The sequence below is a fragment of the Homo sapiens genome, chromosome 17 (assembly GCF_000001405.40).
Source record: "Homo sapiens chromosome 17, GRCh38.p14 Primary Assembly".
NCBI classification, from domain to species: domain Eukaryota; kingdom Metazoa; phylum Chordata; class Mammalia; order Primates; family Hominidae; genus Homo; species Homo sapiens.
The window spans coordinates 79,405,174-79,426,845 of record NC_000017.11 but is presented as its reverse complement, the minus strand read 5'-3'; the positions used below and the strand labels follow the sequence as shown (position 1 = coordinate 79,426,845).

Genomic DNA, 21,672 nt, shown 5'->3' with positions numbered 1-21,672 from the left:
GTAATCCCAGCTACTTGGGAGGCTGAGGCAGGAGAATCCCTTGAACCTGGGAGGTGTAGGTTCCAGTGAGCTAAGATCACACCACTGCACTCCAGCCTGGGCAACAAGAGTGAAATTCTGTCTCAAAGCAAAAAAACAAACAAACAAACAAAAAACACACACCCCAAAGTAAATAGAGCCGTGCTGTCCCCTCCAAAATTTGGAAATGAGGTGGGGTGTGGACAAGTAAGTCAAGCTGTGGGCTAGGGAAGTTCTGGGGTTCACACCGAGGCTTCATCAGTTCACTTTTGGACTCCAGTTCCCTCACCGGTAAAACGAGGATGATAGGTGCCTGCCCCATCGGCTGGAAGGAAAGTCTTGTTGGAACCACAGAACACTGTGTCGCGAGTGCTCCCGGCCTGCCTGCCGTTGTCTCTTCATTGTTGTCACCTCTCAGGGATGCCAGTTTAGAATGTGGGTTGTTCCCCTGACCCTGAGGTTTTATTTACTGTTCGAGCAAGAAAGACATGGCGCATTCACGAGAACACCTCCTCTCCCAGCACCTGCGACAGCCATCCTCGACTGTCTGCCTCCCCTCTGGGCCTTGCCTGCATGGGACAAGTGGGACAAAGGACTGGGATGCTGCCGGAAAGGTGGGCCCCACGACCTGGGGAACCTGAAAGTCCTCACACCCCAGCCAGCTCTTCTGCTCCTCTCTCTCCTCAAACCCAGGCCACCAGCACCCATGCCCCCTGACTCACTCTTGCCAAAAGCCCCTGGTTCTGCTTGTGGGCTGTGTCTCCCTCTCCTCCCCAGCTCCAGGCCATGAGTCCCGCAGCCTTGCTCTCTCCCCCTCCACACTCTCCGTGATTCCTCCAGTGTTACACTGGTCACCGCGTCTGTCTTCCCATTGCAGAGAGAGCCCTCGCCTCGCACCACCTTCCCAGGCGCAGGCCTGGTGCCCGCCCCTCTTTGCAGCAAGATCCCTGGAAGGGGGTCTCTGCCCTCACCATTCCTTGTCCTCTCCTCCCCCCATCCTCTCCTCCTGCCCTCCCCATCTCCACTGCAACTGTCCAGTGTCTTTCGGAACCCCCGGGCCCCCAATCTCCCGCTCTGTCCCTTCACTGCTCCCTCTGCTCTTGCCGCCTTCTAAGTCGGAATTCGTGGCCCTCCTGTCTTCTCCCCCTTCCTTGCTCTGTCCATCTCTTGGCTGTGAGTGCCGCCCCAAGGTTGATCCCAAGTGCACAGCTCAGCAGGGTCTACCTTGGAAACTCCCTCTTTATTTACCCCCATGGCCTCTGCTGTGTCCTGTTGGGTCTCCCAGATATCTCAGGCTTTGCCCCTCTGAAGGAAGTGAGAATCTTTTAGGGCACCATCCTTGGCAGCTGTGGACACGGCTCCAGTCCGGGTGGGAGGTGCCTCCTTCCTCTGGGGAGTGCAGGCAGTTGGGGCCCCAGGGGGTTGACTCCCTGCTTGGCTACACACTGTGGGTTCCCAGTGAGCACTGGGGCCACACAAGCCCCCCCAGGCCCTCCCCACTGCAGAGGGTTACTGCGGAGGGGACTTGCTCAGGGCACTCAGAGGGAGCTGAGGCCTCAGGGATGAGAACCAGCCAGGAAGGAGTTAGGTCTGGACGAGGGTGCTCCAGGAAGGGGGGTTTGCAGGGTGCGGTGGCCTGGGCAGAAGGATCTGGGTATGTTCTAGAAGCTGACAGAAACCCATGCTCCTGGAGGGTTTAGTGTAGCAAGAGGAGGTGAGAGAGGAGGGTGGGGCATAACAGGCCTTGGGTAAGGAGCACAGATTTTATTTTCTAAAACCAGGAGGCTTGTGGAGGGGTTAGCAGGGCGTGAGTGTCACCTGATACATGTTAAACAGCAAGCCATCGGGCGACAGGGTGGGGCTGGCCCAGGGTGTCAGAGCACAGCAGAGGCCACAGGGAAATGTGTCTCCCTCTGGGAACTTGCAGACAGTTGACCATGGTGGGGAGGGGCTTTGGTGACTAAATGGGTAGGGGCTGCCTTCCAGGAGCAGAGATGGGGCGAGTCAGGGGACACCAGCATCCGTCCAGGCAGGCCAGGTTTGAGGATCCCAAGGGATGACCCCAGGAAGGACATGAGGTGGCAGCTGGAGCTCCGGCCCGGCCCGAGGGGGAAGACTATGGCTGTTGTCAGCAGGTCCTCCTGAGCCACAGACCTGCCTGAGGCCAGAGGGGAGAGGAGAGCCAGGGCTGGACCGAGCCCTTGGAAGCCTGGTGGGGGAGGGGGTGGTCCTAGTCAAGGAGACTCAGTGGGCACCACCCTGGAGACAGGAAGAAGCCCCAGGCCAGTGGTGACTCCAGCTGGAGAGAATTTCACAGGAAGAGCATGGCTGGCAGGTGGCAGGGCCCATGGCTGCTGAGAGTCGAGAGCTCAGTTGCGGGGGGAGCGGAGGGACCTTAGGGCAGGCTCCGCCAGCCTGGCTGGCTGTTCTTTCCTGCCAAGCCCCAGCTTCACTTCTGGGGGCAGGGGCTTCCTGGCTGTGGACTTCCTTGTCCATCCCCTGGTCAGTGCCGAGGGAGAGACGCTCACCCCTGTGCTCCTGGGACGGGCGGGAGGCCCGGACAGGCTATGATTCCCACGCCACCTGTGCTGGGAGAGCCCCTACTGTGTGTTCATTCCTCACATGATGTACTTGCCTGGAGGATTCCGCTCTGCACTTGGGGAGAGGGGTGAATAAGACCCGCCCCTGGCTGCAGGGAGCTTCTGCTGTGAGCAGGAGACAGGGAGGGCTGAAGGCTGTGCAGCACCCTGGTATGGGGTGAGTGAGGGTGCCTAGAGGGCGCCCACAGAAGGGGCTCCTGACTCGGACTGAGGGGCAGGGAGGTCTCCTTGGATGAAGGGGTGCCTGGGCTAGGGCTGCAGGCTGGCTGGCCCTTGCCAAGAGAGGACAAGAGGGAGCCATTCCGTGTAGAGGGCATAGTGGCTGCAAAGGCCTCAGGGAGCTGAGGGCATGTGGCGTGCTCTGGGTAGCACATGACTGAGTGTGCGCCTGGACTGGGCATCCGGGATGGGGTCACCAAGAGCCTCGTGGACGATGGAGAAGTTGCAAGGGGATTTGCTGATGGGCAGCCCTGCCCAGCAGCGACTCCACTGGGCTTGTTCCTTGTCCGTTCCTTGAACAAGTATGTATTGAGCTGACCTTGTCTGTGGGCACGGGGTGGTCGGGGGGGCAGGCATTCCTGGGAAAAAGCAAATGGGACGAAGGGGTGGGGGCTGCGTTTGCACAGGGGGCAGTGTCCAGCGTGGAGAGGTGGCGGCGTTTGAGAACGATGTGTGGGAGATAGCGGAGAACCCCAGGTGCTGGGTACCGGCAGCGCTGGCAGGATGTGACTTCTATTTTAAAGGAATCTCTTTGGCTGCTGTGCTGAGAATAGCCGGGGGCTGGGCACGGAGGTAGAGAGATAGCAAACGTCCGGCAGAGGTGGTGGCGCCGGACCACACTGGAGGTAGGGTTGGGGTCTGTGCGGCAGGATCTGCACAAGCATTGAAAGCAGAATCATCCTGGCTCCTGGCATCCTGGTCGATGGGGGCGTGGCGAGGACGGTCAAGGAATCCAGGACAATGCCACGAACTTGTACCTGGGAACCTGGAAAGATGGGGCTTCCACGGGGAGACCGCAGGACGTGAGGAGTTTGGTTTTGGACATGTGACGCCAAGACACGTTTGAAAACTCTGGTGGGGGTGACTAGTTGGCCACTGGACCCAAGAGTCTGGAGTCTGGAAGGAGACTGGGGCTGGAGGCAGAAAGAGGGGAGTTCGTGGCACACGGGGCACCCGAAGTCCCGTCGCAGGGGCCGGCCTGTCCCGTGCCTGTGAGGACTCTTTCTGGTGTAGATGCCGCCTTCTCCCTGCGACCTCACGTGGCCTTTTCTGTGCACCCCTGGAGAGAGACAGACAGAAACACAGAGAGGGAGACAGGGAGAGGAAGAGAGAGTGCATATCGCCCTGCTGTCTCTTCCTGTAAGGGCATCAATCCCATCCGATGAGGGTCCCTGTGACTTCACTGAACCTTAATAACCTACTTATAGGCTCCACCTCCAAATGCAGCTACACAGGGGGGTCAGGGCTGCAACATATGAAGTTGGGGAGGGGGCACAATTTAGACCCTAACAGGTGGTGATGGAGAAGAGCCAGGGTGCACCCCGGGTTCCCGCCACTGCGCCCAGGCAGAGAGGAGCACTGCCGGGGTGACGACCCAGCATCTGCCCAGCCTGGCCCCGCCCAGCCTGAGGCTGCTGGACCCTGGGCCTTGCCCAGACCGAGTGTCTGCCTGGCGGCTTCCGCAAATGAAGGGGTGTGTAGGGAGCGGGAGGACAGAGGAGGCAGCCTGGGCCGGGAAGCCCTGGGTGAAACACAGAGGGCAGCAGCCGGCTCGGGCAGGTGACCCCCTGGGCTTCCTGGAGGCACCGGCCTGGGAGTGGAGGGCCGGGCACAGGGAGGCAGTGGGGGTGCTGTGGCAGCACAGGACGGAGGGAGGGGTTGAATGTGTGGGGAGGGGGGTTGGGCATCTTGGTCACAGTTGCCAGCGAGGCCATAGGATGATTTACCAGGAAGACGAGGCTGTGCTGCCGCTGTCGGGGGCCAGCCCTCCCCGCGTGCCCGTCCCAACTGCTGTCTGCACATGGCTCCCCCTGTTTCCCTGTCTCCCTTCTGCCTCTCCAGAGCAGCTATCATCAGAGGGCCTTCTCAGGACCTCTCCTCTCCTCCCCGGCCCACACCCTTCTCCCCAGGCTCCAAGTCCCGCCTCTCTCAGCCCCTTCAATGCTCTTCTCCCCTCTCTGCCCCTCCCTGGGTGCCTCTGTACCCCATGAGGCTGGAAGCCAGCAGCCGGCAAGTCCCCCTCCTCATCTCGTCCGGGCAGCACCTAGAATTCTGTTGGGAGCTGCTGAGCCTGTGGAACATGGGGCCAGTTGCTGAGGACCGGGCAGCTTGGGGTGGGGCGTGGGTTCCTGGAACCCATGAGCCTCGTGGGCCACCCTCACGGGGCCTTCCGGCACCTGATCACTTCCTTCCCCTTCTCTCTCTCTGCCCTTGTCCCAAGGCCTCAAGGAGACCTCCCCACCACAGGAGGAGAGAGCATGGCTGCTGCCCCGGCCTCAGGCTTGCCAGGGGCCTGCGTCATCTTGCTTGGTCCTATGGTCATCTTGTTTGGTCCTATGGTGACCGCGTTCGGTGTGCCCCTGGGGTCCCGCATGCCCTGGTCAGGGGTCCATGTTCCTTGTGTCCTCAACTTCTGGGGCCCCCTCCTGTCACCCAATGCCAGCATGGGTCATTTGAGCCTCGCCTCCTGTCCAGGTGAGGCCCTGGGCCCTGTCCCTCCCCACATGCTTTCTTCAGGGGGAGGGGCTGAGAGCTGCTGTCCTGCCAGTGGCTGTGGTCCGTGGGCTCTGGAGAGGCCCCTAGGCTTGGCAGGCAGCCAGGCCCAGCCTCCTTCCACATTGAGGGGGCCATCCACTTCAAGCAGCCCCACTTCTGACACCAGCCTCAAGCGTAGAGGCTTCCAGAACCACTCTCAGGCCCGGTTGTTTGCTAGAGGACCTCGGAGCCCAGCAGTCATGGTTCTCACGCTCAGGGTTCATTACAGCTAAAAGACACAGGGTGGAACCAGCTGAGAGAAGCGGCCGCGGAGGTTAGGGCATGGAGGCCTGTAGGTTAGGGCACGGAGCATCCTGCCCTCTGCTGTGAAGCCAGGACGGTGTCATCTTCCTGGCACTGATGTTTGACAGCACCTGGGGAGGCTCACCCAGCAGGGAAGGCCCTCGACCCACCTGGGGAGGCTCACCCAGTAGGGAAGCCCCTCAACCCACCAGGGGAGGCTCACTCAGCAGGGAAGCCCCTGGGCCTCCATGCCCGAGTCTTCACCAGCTTCATCATGGCGGCTTGGGAGGTGTACATGGCTGACCTGAGTCTCCAGGCTTTCTAGAGGTCAGCTGATCCCGTGAGACCCCAGACCAGCCCCCACATCACATTGTTACTTCCTGGCTAGACGAAGACCCTGAGTAAATAAAGACACTCATCAGTAAGCCGTTCCAGGGGCTTAGACATCCTGTCCTAGAAGCTGAGGGCAGAGGCCTGACCCTCCTGTGGCAGGGGTGAGATTCCTCACAGCAAGGCCTCTTTCCTCCACCCTCCCCTCGGGTGGCCGAGCTCTTCAGCTGCAGAGCAGTGGCTGGGAGGCAAGCGGTTCCCGTGCACTTCCCTCCCCTAGGCCTGCCCTGCCTGCTAACAGTGGTGCCATGGAGACCCCTGTGAGAATGTGGACCCCTTCTCCTGGGTTGGGATGGGGGCAGACCTAGGTGCTGGACAGAGCCTGGACATGGCTGTGGAGGGAGAAGGTCCCAGGGGACTCTAGCAGGCTGGCTGGCAGAGGACTCCGCCCAGCAGCCCTGGGGCCGCTGACTCACACTTTCCTCCCATGCTCCCTTCGTGGGTGGGGGCGTTCTAATTGGGAGTCCCTGACTTGGTGCTGCACATATGTTCTGAGAAACTTGTAGATAAACAAGTATTTTTAAAAATGGCAGTAGATTTGAAATGCACTCAGAAACTTTCCATTTCCACGTTAAAGGGACCTTTTGTAAAGTGACTCACCAGCCAATTTGTGTTTTTTAAACATCAGATTTGCCTAAAAGGAGGCACACCTGTTAACCATCTTTTGTGTGTGTGTGTGTGTGTGTGTGTGTGTGTGTGTGTGTGTGTGTGTATGAGACGGAGTCTTGCTCTGTTGCCCAGGCTAGAGTGCAGTGGCATGATCTCAGCTCACTGCAACATCCGCCTCCCAGGTTCAAGCGATTCTCCTGCCTCAGCCTCCTGAGTAGCTGGGATTACAGGAACACGCCGCCATGCCTGGCTAATTTTTTGTATTTTAGTAGAGACGAGGTTTCACCGTGTTGCCCAAGCTGGTCTCAAACTTCTGAGCTGAGGCAGTCTGCCTGCCTCGGCCTCCCAAAGTGCTGGGATTACAGGCATGAGCCACCGCGCCCGGCCCCTGTTAACCATCTTACAGCATTCATAAGTCTGCTCTTGGAGAGGATGCCAAGACACCAGGGCGCCCAGAACTCACACAAGCAGCCCTGCCTTTGATTTCATTGGTGCTTTGTGTGTTTCAAAATGCTTTCCTATTTTTCATTGCGTATGATCTCACAACCACATTGTGAGGGGGACTGCAGGTGGGAGGTGGGTATCACTTCTCCCGTTTAGAGGTGAACGTGCTGAGGTCTGGAGATGAAGGGGCTTCTCCAAGATTGCCCTGTGTAAAAGTGGCAGAGCTGCAGGCGTTTGTGAACCTCGGAGCGCCTGAGCGCCTCTGAATTTTGTGCACACGTGTGTGTACATGCACACAGGCAACCATTGTGAGCACTGGGTGGTCCTCGTTGCCTGCTATGCACTTCCGAAGCTCCTGTTTGACCTCCTGCATCTGCAAGAACCCTGCCAAGACGTAGGTCTTGGCAGTGGTGAGGCGTTGGCTCATCTTTGGTTTTCTGGAAACACCTCTGATGATGGACATTTTCAGGAGAAAGGTTGGCACAGGAGAGCACAGAGCAGTGGGTGGCACCCCAACATGGGGAGAGGCCTCTCACGGGGAAAAGGCATCTTAGCAACTCGAGAGACAGATGAGCCATTCCCAGCCACGTATGCCTGAAACATCCATACACACATGTGTGCACAGGCATGGCCGGGCAGCCCACAGAGGTGAGGAGGGGGCGTGGGGAAAAATGAAATCATGGATAATTGCTTAGCTGCCATGGGAATGTTGCCTGCTAATTTACAGCATTAGGAGGACTCAGGATGCCACGCTTCCTCCTGAGCTTGGACGATACGGTCCCTTGACACCAGCAGACGTAATTATCCACATTTAACTGAGGGCTTGTAAAATCTATTTGTCTAGCAGAATGTGAATATAATTGCTATAGATTAAATAAGGATACATTTGTAGCTGGGTGGTGACCCAGTCTGAGCTAGCACAGACAAGGGTGCCATCTCCTCAAACCTACTGCCTGGTACCAGGCTGCATGGGAAGGGGCTGGGTCTTCCGTGCCATGTCCTCCCTCACTTTTTGGGAAGGAATTCCTCTCCCAAACCTCCTTCTCAAGCAGCAAGTCTAAGGAGAGTGGATTTGCCACCCAGACTTGGGGGATGCCAGGGCACTTGGCACAGCCACATCCATCCCTCTCTGTCTTGGTCTTAGTCTGCCACTTCCTGATTTTCTCCCAGACCTCCTTGCCAAGAAGCATCCCTGAGCTGGGATGCTGCCCTGAGACTTGGCCCCACGACTGACCACCTTCACATGTCTGGGCATCTATGTCTGTGCCTTTCTTCTTGCTCTTGGCCAGAGGCCGCAGGCTCTTGGCTGACACACACGGCTTTCTCGCGTGGCACGGTGTGAATCCTTCTTTATGAAATTGTTCAAGGAGATTATCTAGTGGAGGGAAAATTGGGGGCAGGTACCTTTCTTTTGCTGTAGGAAGAACGTGGCCAACTTTTAGTGTGGGAAACGTGTGTGCACGCGTGTGCATGGGTGGGTGTGCAAGGAGGGAGGACTAGGCAGCTGGATGGAACACATACATCCCTGCGATTGGAAAAAACTTTTTGTCGTTGTGGTAAAATATGCATAACATAAAATGTACCATCTTAACCATTTTTAAGTGCACTGTTCAGTGGCATTAAGTACATTCATCTTGTTGTGCGGCCATCACCATCCATCTCCAGAATGTTCTCATCTTTCTAACCTGAAGCTCTGTCCCCAGGAAACACGAAGCCCCCTTCCTATCTCCCCAGCCCCTGGCATCTCCATTCTCCTTTCTGTCTCTGAATCTGATGACTCTAAGGACCTCACATGAGTGGACTCACACAGGATTTGTCCTGTTGTGACCAGCTTACTTCACTCAGCGTCATGTCCCCAGGGTTCTCCCATGTTGTGTGTGTCAGAATTTCCTCCCATTGTAAGGCTGGTCATATTCCCTCTATGCATGGAGCATGTTCTGTTTCTCCATTCGTCCATCCGTGGACACTGGGCTGCCGCCCCGTGTGGCTATTGAGAGTGATGCTGCCGTGAACACGAAGTGCACTTCTCAGTTGGAGTTGCGGCTCTCAGTTCTCTTGGGGCTGTACCCAGGAGCAGGGTTGCTGACCATATGGCAATTCCATCTGATTGTTTAAGGAACCGCCAAACCTTCCTTTTCCGCAGCAGCGGCGCCATCTTCCATTCCCACCAGCAATGCATGAGGGTTGCAACTTCCCCACACCCTCGCCAATGCCTTGTTATTTTCTGTGCTTTTGATAGCAGCCATCCTTATGGGTGTCGGGCAGCCCATTGGCTTGTAGTCAGGACTCTTCCCTGCCTGGTTGGGCATGTTCCTCTGAGAAAGAAAGGCCGTGGGGAACAGCTACTTTTCAACATCCAGGGACAAGCCAGGCCGCTGGTGCTCTCTGGAAGGGATTGTGACAGGGCCAGGGGTGTCCTCTCTGATGTCCTCAAGAACTGCAGAGCCAGGCCCCTTCTTTCCTGAGAGCTTCAGCTGAGGCACCCCTGAGCAGGAGTGAGTATTCTGCCTCTGACCAGGGGTTTTGGGAGAGGCTGAGGGGCTGAGAGACTCTTACGGGGAGCAAGGAGAAGCTTCTCTGCCTCTGTTATCTTCTCTCCTCTCCCCCAGGCTGTGCAGATGACATAGGCACAGTCACAGCCACTTCTCCCCTTTCCTGCCATCCTGGCAGAACACCTGGCTGCCCCTTCCACCCTGCCAGGAGAGATGTGCCCCTTATGCAGAGCTGGGGAGAGCGGCAGGGACAGGGTGGGGCCGCCTTTCCACTCCCTGCCATGCGAACCCTGCTGCAAACCATGCCAAGGGGCCTGGGGCTTACCAGGCAACTGTGGTATTCCTCGGATGCGGGTAAGGAACATGGGTCCTGCCCAACCTGCCAGCCAGGTGCAGCCAGCAGGAGGGAGAGCCGCATCCCCAAAACAGCACATCCCCTGGGCCCACAGTTTGCCCTGCAGACTTTCATGGCAAGGGGGCTGCTCTATTTGTGTTGCTTTAGATTCTAAAGGTCACAAAACAGCCAGCTGCGCTTGTCAGTACCAAGGGGTCAGCAATCGAGGCAGATAGATCCAAGGGGCTGCTGAAGCCTGAGTGGCAGCCCCATCCCAACCTGGAGGGGTGGGTGCGGGGGAGGGCCGGCCTCCACTTCTCCTGCAGCTTCTCTCCCCACAGGAGGCTACTGGGATTGGCCCCAGGGTTCACCTGCTGGCCCCCGTGGGAGAGCAAGTGTCTTCGCTCTCTCTGGTCACGCCATCGCAGGGGCCACACCAGAAGTGCTGGGCCACGTCGCTGTCTTGGATCCTGGAACCATTGGGCGTCCTTGATGGATAGTGGGGGCTGACAGTGAGAATGGGGACTGTGGTGCTATCCTTGCCCTATACTATGCCTAGCAGGAGAGCTGGCGGGTCTGCTAGGGAGGAGGCTTTGGGCTTGGCGGTGGGCAGAGCAGGAAGGGCTGGTTTGGCAGGGGCCATGGCCAAAGCACCTCAGACCAGAAGAGGGAGGGAGCTCTGGGTGCAGTAACTGCTCCCAGGTCCACTCCTTGACCGAGGGTTGCAGGTGATTCCAGCTGCTCCCGGGGAGGATTCCAGCTGTCCTTTGGCCCTCCCAGGTGAGCTGAGACCTGTCCGTGCAGGTGGCAGCCCTTGGCCTTGTGGGGGCACCTGTGGGCAGCCCTGCCCTGCCTGGGGGTGCTGGAAGGACTCCGTTGCACCACATGGACCCTGGAGTGCAGGCGAGAGGAAGAGGCGGCGGCAGAAGGAGGCAGCGCAGGCATGGCCTTTTCCAGCCTCCTCCTGGAATTCTGGGGCCCATGTCAGTGGAGAGGGGAGCAGAGACTCTCAGAGTCTGGGGGCGTCTGCAGGTGAGGAGGTGGGAGGGGCCTGCTCCAGTGTGTGGGCTCCCCTGGGGTCTGCGGCATGCTCAGAGACCCCTGCAGTCCCTCTCCCTTCCTCCACAGCCCCAGCACATGCAGGCTGCCATTTGCAGAGACCCCTCCTTATGACCCACACAGACTCTGCCTCCCCCAGGGCCCAGATGAAAGAAGAGTTTCACCTAAACGTCAGGCAGGGAGCCGACTCCGCCCCAGCCCCTCCCTCCGAGGACCTGCTCCCTGTGTGCCCATCGTAACTGAGCCGCATGCAATTGTGTGACTGTCCTGCCACTTGGCCATCTAGCTGCCCGCCCTGGTGGCCCCAGGAGCCGGCAGAGTGGCTTTGGAAAGCTTGGGGCTGCCTGCATGCACACACCACCAGAGGAGGGAGTTTCTCTCTCCTCCATCTGCGTCTGCCGTGCTGAAATACAAGAGCCGAGATGTCCAGGGCTTCCAAGTTTCCTTAGCTCTTCCACAGCCGCTAGGGTCGGCCTCAGGGGTGCACAGTGCCCCCTTCTCCCTGGGTGGGGGAGGGGAGGTACTCTGACCCCCAGGATCAAAAAATGGACCTTGGAGTATTTAGCCCCACACTTCATGTGGGGATCACTCAGGGTCCAGCCATGGGCAGCCTCCTAAAGGTGAGAGTCTGTGTGCCAGGGACTGGCTCTTTGGAACTCATCTGGGCTTAAACGAATACAAAGATTCTACCAGGTATTGCTGGGCCTCGGCCCAGGTACCTCGGCAAAGGCGGTCCTCGTAGGTGGCACCGGGCAGATTGCACCCCCAAGTGGTCTCAGAAGTCACTTGAACTCCCCAGACTCAGAACCCCGTGATGAAATTGCAGCCTGGTGGCCCTGGGATTGGTGTGAGTCTTTGTCCGCATGTGGACCGTGGCGATGAGCTGGGGAGGCTGCCCTGGGGAACAGACCTGTGCTTTGGCAGCTGGGGACCTCAGAGGCTCAGGAGCCCTCTGGGAACGGGAGCTGGACTGCGACGGCCCCTCCCGCTGCCCTGGCTCCCGCCACCTCGGGCTCTGTCCCAGACCCACTGCCAGGGGGTTGCTGCATGGTTCCTCCCGACTGAATGGAAAGATGTCAGCAAGGAGCTACAAAGCCCATCTTTTCACCAGAGCCTGTTCGCGCCAGCGGGAGTGCAGAGGCTGTTCAGTCCTCCCGTGGGCACGCTGTCTTCCCAGGTGCCCATCCTCTTGGGGGTCTGCTGCTTACCCCACACAGCAGTTCCTTAGCTCTGCCAGGCCGGACCTCCCAGACCTGTCTTTACTGTTTCTGAGTCCGCAGCCTGGAGCAGGCAGGCAGGCGAACAGACAGCCAGACGGACAGTCAGACACAGGCTTAGGAAGCTGAGAGTGCAGGGAGACCAGGAGAGGTGGAAGGGATTCACGGGGAGCTTTCGCCCTGGGGCCTGGACACACGGGGCACCGTCCCGCCGCATTTGCATATGGAAATACACGCTGAGGGGCTTTGTGGGGAAGTTGTGTGTGTTAATCCATCTTCCTATGGAAAGGAGGAAATTATTCATAATTAAAAAGTAATAATAATGTGGTGTGAAGGAACTCGCTGTACATTACCCAGAAGGAAGGGGGTAGGGTGGCCAATCTATTTTTAATAGTCTCCATGGCAACGGAGACTTTGTTTACAGTGATTTTTTTTACCCCTTGTTCTTCAGCAAGGCAATTGTTGATTTGCATTGTATTAGAAAATGCTGCCGCAAGTCCCTGATATGGACAGGAGTGTGGCCCTGAAGGGGACTCCAGGAGGGCCCTTGAGAACCTGCCTGAGCCTCTTCTGGGGGCTTTGTGGATCCTGGGTAGAATAACAAGGCCGAGGCCAGCCGAGCTGGTGGGGAGTTTCCTTCCAGCTGCCCAAACCCAGCTGGGTCCCCTCTGCCTGGTCCTGTCCTGCCCCTGCTGCCCCTGAGACACAGCTTCACAGCCCCCTACATGCCCCCTCTCCTACCCCCAGAGCCCACGCCACCTGCCTAGGGCACCACTACCCGCCTGTATGAGGCTGGTAGGGACCACTTGGCACAGAACCCAGGCCCCAGCTGAGGTGCAGATGGGATGGCAGCCGCCTGCCCTGTGGCAGCCAGTGCACATGGCTGCTGGCCAGGCCGCAGAAGGATGGCCCGGGCTGGGTGCCCAGGTGCGAGCTCTTCCTGGACCCTGTGGGCTCGCGGCCTGCTGCTCCTCGGGCTGCCTTCCAGCCCCCTCCCCTCTGCCCATCGCCCAGGTGTGCACCTGCAGAAGGATCTCTCACTGGGGCTGCAACGCTGCCTGTGCCCAGAGCCTCCTTCCCACTGGCTTCAGAGTCTCCACGCTCCAGGTGGAAACCTGCTCCCTGATGAAGTGTGGCCACGGGAAGAGAAGAGCTCACGGCCTGAGCCTCCTGGGTGGGAGCGGGGATGCTGTGGCTCCAGGGATTCCCTGCTGTTTGTGGGGGGCCCCAGTAGCCCAGGTGTCACTTTTGTGTTGTGGCTCCTCCCCACATCCATGGAAATTCAGAAAGCCTCTGGATGCAGCAGGTTCTGGAAGGAGAGCCAGGTGAATGGTCATTCTTCCACTCAGAGACTCCACATCCTGCCTTTGGGATAATTTGGAGTCTAAGTCACGGAAATTGAGAAAGTGCAGCCTTTGTAACCAGAGCAGTTTCTTGGCTGGCACAGAAATGGGCACTGCAGGGGAGGGGTGCCCCGGCCTGCCCTCTTGAGGCTGGGTCTGGGCTGATTTGAGGTTTCTGTTTTGGTCTCTCTTGCATTTCAGAAATTTCATCTGCAAGTGACATTTGCAGGCAGTTCCCCCTTTCCCCCTCCCTGCTTTTAAACCAGCAGAACCTTTTGGGAAAATGCCCAATTTTCCTTCTTAGGAGAGATGGACGGAGACAGGGCAGAAGCAGGCTGGTTCCTCTGGCTGTCAGAGAGCAGAAGGGAGGCTGGAGGGTTGAACAGAGAGGGGCTCAGGGTCAGAGAGTGGTAGTCACCCCTTTACTGTGGGTGGGGATCATGCCACACACATACACAACACGTGCATACACACCACACATACATTCATACACACACGCACCATGCCCTCACATATATACACACACATGCATAGAGGCACACACACATACACCACACACATACACCACACAGACATCACAACACGTGGATACACACCACACACATTTATACATATGCACCATGCCCTCACACATACACATATGTGCATACACACATATACACATATACCATACACTCACACATATCACACACAACACATGCATACATGCACACATTCACACACACATAACACCATGCCTTCACACATATATACACACGTGCATACACACACATACCACACAGCACACACATATCACATACAACACATGCATACACAACACAATGCATTCATACACACCATACCCTCATACATGTATACATATGTGCATATGTGCACACACATACACAATACGCTCACACATATCACACACATGTATACACCTCACACACATTCACTCACACCCATACCACCATGCCTTCACACATACACACATGTGCATACACACCACACATATCACAACATGTGCATACACACCACACACATTTATATACACATGCCCACATACATACACACATGTTCATACACGCACACATACCATACACACACCATACACTCACACATATCACACACAACACATGCATACATGACACACATACACACTATGCCCTCACACATATACACATATGTGCATACACACTTACACCACACACAGATCATGCACAACACGTGCATATACACCACACACATTTATATACACACACCACCCCACATACGTATATACACGCATGCGTCTACACGCACACATACCACACACTCACATACACCACACACACATATACACAACATGTGCATACATGCTGCACACACATTTATATAACACACATCATGCCCACAGGCATATATACACACGTGCATACACGCACACATACTACACACTCGCATACACCACACATACATATACACAACACGTGCATACACGCTGCACACACATTGTTCCATATTTTCCATTTAATTGGCCCCAGTATGAGCCTTCATTGTTCATTCATTCAGCAAACGTCCCCTGAGTGCTAGCCCAGGGCTCCACGAGGACTGGGGCCTGGCTTGTCCAACACGGGTGCTCTAGAACAACCATTGCATGCATGGATCACAGCATGAACAACTGCTACAAGTCAGGCACCATGGGAGACTGGGGACATACAAGGGAATGAGGCTCTGGTCCTGCCTCACCACTGTGCAGGTGGGGGCGTGGGGACCGAAGTCGGGCTGGCAGGCAGGGGCTTACAGCACAGAGGGAGGGCATGGAAGGGGAAGCCTGGGGCCAGGGCAGCCCCAAGGAGGGAACTGATGGAGACCTGGAGGGGAGGTGGGAGAAGGGTGGAGGAGGAGCCCGTGGAGCTGAGGCCAAGGCTGAACACGCTCCCCAGGGAAGAATGCTCCACACAGAGGGACGGTGCGTGCAGAGGCCCTGGGTCCGAGACAACCTGGCTGCTTGGGGTAACTGCAGGTAATTCCAGAATGAGTCTCAGTGGGTTTTGGTTTTTGCATTTGGTGTGAGCAGATCAGTGAGGTGCCATGAGGTGCCCCCACCCCAAAATGCCTTTGGGACCCTTCGATATAGTTCAGAAGCTGGAACACACACCCAGAAAGCAGGGCGCAGGCAAGCAGCACACAGAAAGTCCTGGGAACATTTGATCCGGTTACGTGACAGCATCGGCTCCGTCGGCACAGCGCCTGGTGCCGGGGCACGAAAAAAATGTGCTCAAGGTGGTTCCTGTTGCTGTTTTTATTTTACAGAGGAGGAAACTGAGGCACAAAATGGCAAGGTAGCTGGCAGAGATCGCACAAGTAGAAAGCGGGGTCTCTGCACTCAGCCCAGGTCTCCAGATGCCCAGCCCAGCCGTGTGGTGCAGAGAGTGGGAGGGGTGTGAGCAGGTGCCAGCTCGTTCCCCAGCCTACAGTGAGCAAGCACCTGCTGGTGCCACAGGTGAGCAGCTGGTATGGCGGGGCCTTGCCTTCCTGGGGCCGGCAGTCAAGCGGAGCAGCCTGCAAAGCAACTGAGGCAGGAGGGATTGCAGAGCTCAGGAAGCAGGAGGCAGGAGGCACCGCCTGACCTGGGCGTGCATGTGCCACTGATGAGTAACAAAACACCTCCAGCTCAGGGGCTTAAGCAACACCATTTTTCTGAAGGCCACTTTTCTGTCAGTCAGAAGCTCAGATGCACATTCCTCACCACGGGACCCCTCCACTTTCACGCCACCAGTGGAGAAGTTCCCCTTTGCCCCATCCCTTTTACTGTGGAATCCCCTGGCTTCCTGTTCTGCGACCAGCTGGAGAAAACTCTCTGTGTTTCAAAGGCTCATCTGCTTAGGTCAGGCCCACCTGATAAACTCCCTACCTGGGTCCTTAATGACCGCCCCCCTGCCGCAAAATCCCCTCACAGCTGCACCTCGGTTTGTGTTTGGCTGAAGAACTTGGAGATGTGTGTACACCAGGTGCTGACCTGGAACTCTGCCTGCCGCAGCCAGAATGATGCACGGAGACGAGAACCAGCCTGAAACGCAGCAGGGTAGATGCCACTGACTGGGAGCAGCTAAGACTGTGCAGGGGAGAACCTATGTCCCAGAGGAAACTGACCGTCCACAAGAGACACTCCCTTGGCCCAAGGCAGCCAGGCGGCCAGGACACTGTGTGCAGGGGGCCGTCTAGCATTGCACACGCATGCTGAGCTGAGGCAGCAGGCACGGGAACAGCTGTTCACTGTCCAGGTGTGCAGAGCTGAAGGGTGGAGAGTGGCAGTGGAGAGGAGCAGGCGGGAAATAAGGAGAGGACCTGTTGTCCTAAAAGAAATCACAACACATCCTTCCATTCGCATTGTCTGCATTCCAAATACCACCCAAGATGCCAGGAGACTTCCATTCCTCCCTCCAATCTGCACCTTCTAGGCTGAGGCCACTTGACCCCATCAACAGGGGCCAGAGGTGCTGGGATAAGAAATGGGTGGATGGGGGGGTGTCTCTCAGAGGCCAGACAGCATCCCTAGAGCTGGCCCCCTGCCGCCTCTCACCAGTGCCCATCCCCCAGCCTGACCCCATGGCACTGGTCTCCAGGGACCTGCCTGCCCGCTCTGTGGGAATACGGGGACCCCAGCTGCCTGCCAGCTCCAGGTCTCAGGCCCACCTGCTCTGGGGTTAGACACAGGGCCCTGCACTTCACTTCTTGCTTATCAGTTTCCATATGGACAGAGGCAACATGCCACCACCCTCTGCACATGCCTTATGGACTTCAGAAGGCCATATATCTACACAAGTAATAGGCAGCCACTTCATAGGCCACAGAAGGAAAATAAACCAGAAAATAGCAGGTGTTGGTGAGGATGTGGAAACATTGGAACCCTTGTGCATTGTTGGATGTAAAATAGTTCAGCCACTGGAAAACAGGGTGGCAGTTCCTCAAAAAGTTGGACATGGAACTATCACACAACCCGGCCGTCTCGCTCCTAGACACACACTCCAAAAAGACTGCAGTGGGGGCTCAAAGAAATCCATGTGTGCACACGTTTGTAGGAGCACCGTTTGCAAGAGCCCAAAGGCGGAAACAAGCCAAATGCCTGTCAGCTGGAGAATGGACACACAAAACGTGGTAGGGCCACGCAAGGGAGTGCCACAGAGCCATGGAAAGAAATTCAGTTCCGATACAGACTGCCACGTGGACAAACCCTGAAAACAGTGTGCTCAGCAGAAGGGGTGGCCTTTTGTGTCTAGCCACATATTGTATGATTCCATTTATATGAAATACCCAGGGTAGGTAAATCCATAGAGTCAGAAAGGAGATTGGTGGTCGCTGAGGGCTGAGGGCCAGGTGGCAGGGGCTGGTGATGGGCAGAGGCTGCTTAACCAGGTAGAGGGCTTTCTGTTGGCGTGATGGAATGTTTTTGAAGTTGATAGAGACAGTGGTTGCATCACAGATTAAATGATACTAAATGATACACTTTAAAATGGTTAATTTGGTGTAATGTGAATTTCACCTCGATGAATAATAATACTACAATAATTACTTGGTGAGAGAGACCATTAATGCAAGAACAATGATGGTGATGATGTTATCAGCTCAGCTTTACCTGGCGTTATAATTCTGGTTATTATTATTATTCAGATGCAATTTGGCATTAACTCAGCCAAACAATGTGGGCCTCATCGGCTAAATGCATTTTAAGACTCTGCTTCTCAGAACAGGGTCTCCTAGGGACCTGCCTTCCATCCAGCACCCCCTTAGCAACCATGTCTAGATCTGTGGTTGGGGGAGCCCTGAGCAGCAGATGGGGAACCCGCAGGTTCGGAGGTCGCTGTCTTTAAAACCACAGAATGACTTGGCCAGGCTCCTGGGATGGCCGTGAGCCACAGAGCCCTGGGCCCCCATCCTGCTCAGATCTCATTGCCCGCTGGTTGCTCCAGCCTTTTCTGCTTAAGTTCTTCGGCTGATTCTGCCCCGTGGACTCACCTCCTCATCTTTGACCTCATAGCTCAGTGCTGCGTGGGGGCTGCCCGACCCTCCCACTGGTCTCGCTTGGGTGAAGAAGCTGTCCTCGGTGGGGCACTTCTCACTGTGATGAGAGAGATCATTTAGTAAGAGCCCCTGCAGACCCAGCCATCGAGTGTGTGTCTGGGCCGGGTGTTCTGCTAGATACGCAGCCTGCCTCCCCACAGTGACCCCAGGAGGCGAGTGCTCCTTCTCCCCCCACTTCACAGACCAGCAAACAGAACTCTGGAGATCAGAAGCAGCTTCCTGGGGTCTCACAGCTGGCAAGCGTCAGGGCAGGATCGGAAGTGGGGCTGGCGGGCTCCAGAGCCCACGCTGGAAACAAACTAGCTGGGACCTGGGTTCCGTGCTCGACACAGCTCCTTGGAGGAGAAGCCGGCGTTTCATCTTTGCATTCCGACTCCAGGCCAGTGCTGGCTGCATAGTAGGTCTTTATATAGTGCAAAGGAGTAAAAGAACGATTCTCTGTTGTTTCTAGTCTTAGCAAAGAGGACTCTGAGAACAGGGGTTTTTCACAAGCCCTCTCAGAGGGCGCCTTGCATTCTTGCCTCGGTGTTACTCCCACCTTCCCCCAAGCCACCTTGAATGAATTCCTGCTCCCGGCCGCCTAGCTCTCCTTCCTCCTTTGCAATCCTGCAGAAGTCCTCCCCACGCCTTGTCCCCCAATCCTGAGGGACCCTCTGTCCTCCAGACAACTCGCTCCTTCTGGTTTGAATGGAAGCCAAATGCGGAGCCTCATTTATTGTCTCACATTGTGAGTTACTGCATGTTCCCGTCTTGCTCTCCAGCCAAATTACATACTACCTTGAAAGAAGGCAGGACAAGCTCACAGCACTTCAATGAAGATGCGGAAACACATCACATACAAAGTGAAAAGCCCCACTCCTTCCTGTCCTCCCCCAGGGGAAGCCTCTTTTAACAATAGGACAGATACTCCCAGACCTTTATTCAATAGTTGAGTGATTTATTTGTTCATTTGTGAGATTTCTATTGTTACTTTTACTAAAAACATGCAAACAGGGCAGGCAAGGTGGCTCACGCCTGTAATCCCGGCACTTTGGGAGGCCGAGGCAGGTGGATCACCTGAGGTCAGGAGTTTGAGACCAGCCTGGCCAACATGGCAAAACCCCGTCTCTACTAAAAATACAAAAAATTGCCGGGCATGGCGGCGGGTGCCTGTAGTCCCAGCTACTTGGGAGGCTGAGGTAGGAGAGTTGCTTGAACCCAGGAGGCAGAGGTTGCAGTGAGCCAAGATTGCCATGGCACTCCAGCCTGGGCGACAAGAGCGAAACTTCATCTCAAAACAGAAACAAAAACACACAAGCATGCACGGACGTTGGTAAGCACCGGTGGATCTGCAGCTCACCTCTCTCTCCACCATAGCTCCCCAGCAGCCTGGCATGGAAGTCCGTGCAGATCCACTTCAGCTGCATAGAGGAGTCTGGAGCCAGCTTCGGGTATTTCTTTGCATCCCCCAAATATTGTCCCCCCAGGTCCTGGCTGCTCAGTAAGCATCCAGCATTGTAGGGAGTCACCCTTTCCCATGGCGGGGGCAAGCCAGTTAAACAAACACATGTAGTAGCCCCAGAATTTTATGAAGCAAATTTTATCAACTGCTGGAGCCAATTCCATGCGACGTGGTCATGTTGGGAAGGTAGGACATGGGGAGATAATGACACTCAGCGCCGCGTCACATTTACAGGCGTGAAAGGAAATGGAGGGCACCGTTTGTTAATTGTCCCCATCCTGATGGGACACGCCTCCCTCTCCACAATTCCCGGCAATTAGAAGTGAGTCAGGGATTTCCTGGCGGGAGAAACAACAGCCAGGCAATGGAGAGGCCTCATCCTCGCCAGCCCAGGGAGAAGCAGGTGGCTGTCCTGCCTGGACACGGAGTGGAGGGTGTTGCAGGAAGAGCTCTGAGACCCAACCAGTCCTGAGACGTGGAGACTGAGAAGCGACCTGGCAGAGTCAAGATCCCCCAGCGGGAGCCACGGGTGAGAATTTTGGGGCTGAAGCAGTGCTGAGCCGACCCCATCCCTAGGGTTGTCGGCAGCTGGGAGAACGAGCAAAAAGAGAGTTTGCTTGTCTCTGCCTGGTTTCCATCTTCTAAAGCAACATAAAGAATGAGAAAATAATCTCTCAAAATAAGCTGTAGCTGAACAACACAGACAGGCATGTTCCCAACAGCTCTGTTCACAAGAGCCCAGAAATGGAAACAGCCCAAACATTCATCAGCAGAGAGATGGATAAATAAACCCTGGGGCATTAGGAATATTACACAGCCATGAAAAGGGGCAAGGGGCCAATACATGCAGGGAGGTGAATGGGCCTCAAAACCCTGATGTAGCATGAAAGGAGCCAGCAGTGAAGGCGTGCAGTCCCAAGATCCATGCACAGAAAGTTCTAGGACAGGGAAAACTCAGAGGTGGTGGAAAACAGTGAAGACAGTGGTTGCCCTGGGGGCTGGAGGTGGGAATGGCTGGGGAGGGGCATGAGGGGACTTCCTGAGGGGCATGGTCTGCATCTTGGCAGGTGAAGAGTTGTGCAGCTGTGTGCATTTGCAGATTCATGCGTTTCTTTTTCTCTTTCTTGTTTTTGTTTTTGAGATAGAGTCTCACTCTGTCACCCAGGCTGGAGAGCAGCGGTATGATCTCAGCTCACTGCAACCTCTGCCTCTTGGGTTCAAGCGATTCTCCTGCCTCAGCCTCCCAAGTAGCTAGGATTACAGGGGCGTGCCACCACACCCAGCTAATTTTTGTGTTTTTAGTACAGACAGGGTTTCGCCATGTTGCCCAGGCTGGTCTTGAACTCCTGGCCTCAAGTGATCTACCCAAAGTGCAGGATAAAGCCACCATGCCTGGCCCAGACTCATGCATTTCATTGTATGTCAATTTTTACCTCAAAAGAAAAAAAAAATGTAAACAAATGTCAAACCCTAGTTGATGATAAACTCGCTGAAGTATCGGGGGAAGTGCACACACGTCTGCAGCTTACTTTCAAATGCATCAAAAATAATAAACTAGGTTGTCGGGCGGCGGAGGGTGGAGATGGGCTCAGATGTGTGATGCAGCGTGTGGAGGAGAATGCCCCAGTGTGGAGGAGAATGCCCCAGTTGCATCGAGCTGGTGGGGTGCAGCCGTCACCGTCAAA

General features: G+C 56.1%; 1 protein-coding gene across 58 annotated transcripts in view, besides 3 other annotated features; it reads left to right on the top strand.

The window, feature by feature from the left end:
- The window catches only part of RBFOX3 (RNA binding fox-1 homolog 3), a 576,227-nt gene that overhangs the window by 238,726 nt on the left and 315,829 nt on the right, over positions 1 to 21,672 (top strand). For 3 of the 58 annotated variants that reach the window (NM_001385812.1, NM_001385837.1, NM_001385811.1), the window contains exon 1: positions 2,098 to 3,139. The exons of the other annotated variants lie outside the window; for them this stretch is intronic. The gene's annotated coding sequence lies outside the window, so the exon portion shown is untranslated. Of the gene's footprint in view, positions 1 to 2,097; positions 3,140 to 21,672 lie in introns of those variants that run through there. 58 annotated transcript variants of the gene reach the window in all.
- Positions 13,087 to 13,604: an enhancer, noted in NCBI's record as "H3K4me1 hESC enhancer chr17:77409324-77409841 (GRCh37/hg19 assembly coordinates)". NCBI's record gives its function as "activates a minimal SCP1, AML or CMV promoter by ChIP-STARR-seq in naive and primed H9 embryonic stem cells {active_cell/tissue: H9 hESC(naive and primed)}" and the evidence as "EXISTENCE:reporter gene assay evidence [ECO:0000049][PMID:30033119]".
- Positions 18,146 to 18,645: an enhancer, noted in NCBI's record as "H3K4me1 hESC enhancer chr17:77404283-77404782 (GRCh37/hg19 assembly coordinates)". NCBI's record gives its function as "activates a minimal SCP1, AML or CMV promoter by ChIP-STARR-seq in primed H9 embryonic stem cells {active_cell/tissue: H9 hESC(primed)}" and the evidence as "EXISTENCE:reporter gene assay evidence [ECO:0000049][PMID:30033119]".
- Positions 18,646 to 19,147: an enhancer, noted in NCBI's record as "H3K4me1 hESC enhancer chr17:77403781-77404282 (GRCh37/hg19 assembly coordinates)". NCBI's record gives its function as "activates a minimal SCP1, AML or CMV promoter by ChIP-STARR-seq in primed H9 embryonic stem cells {active_cell/tissue: H9 hESC(primed)}" and the evidence as "EXISTENCE:reporter gene assay evidence [ECO:0000049][PMID:30033119]".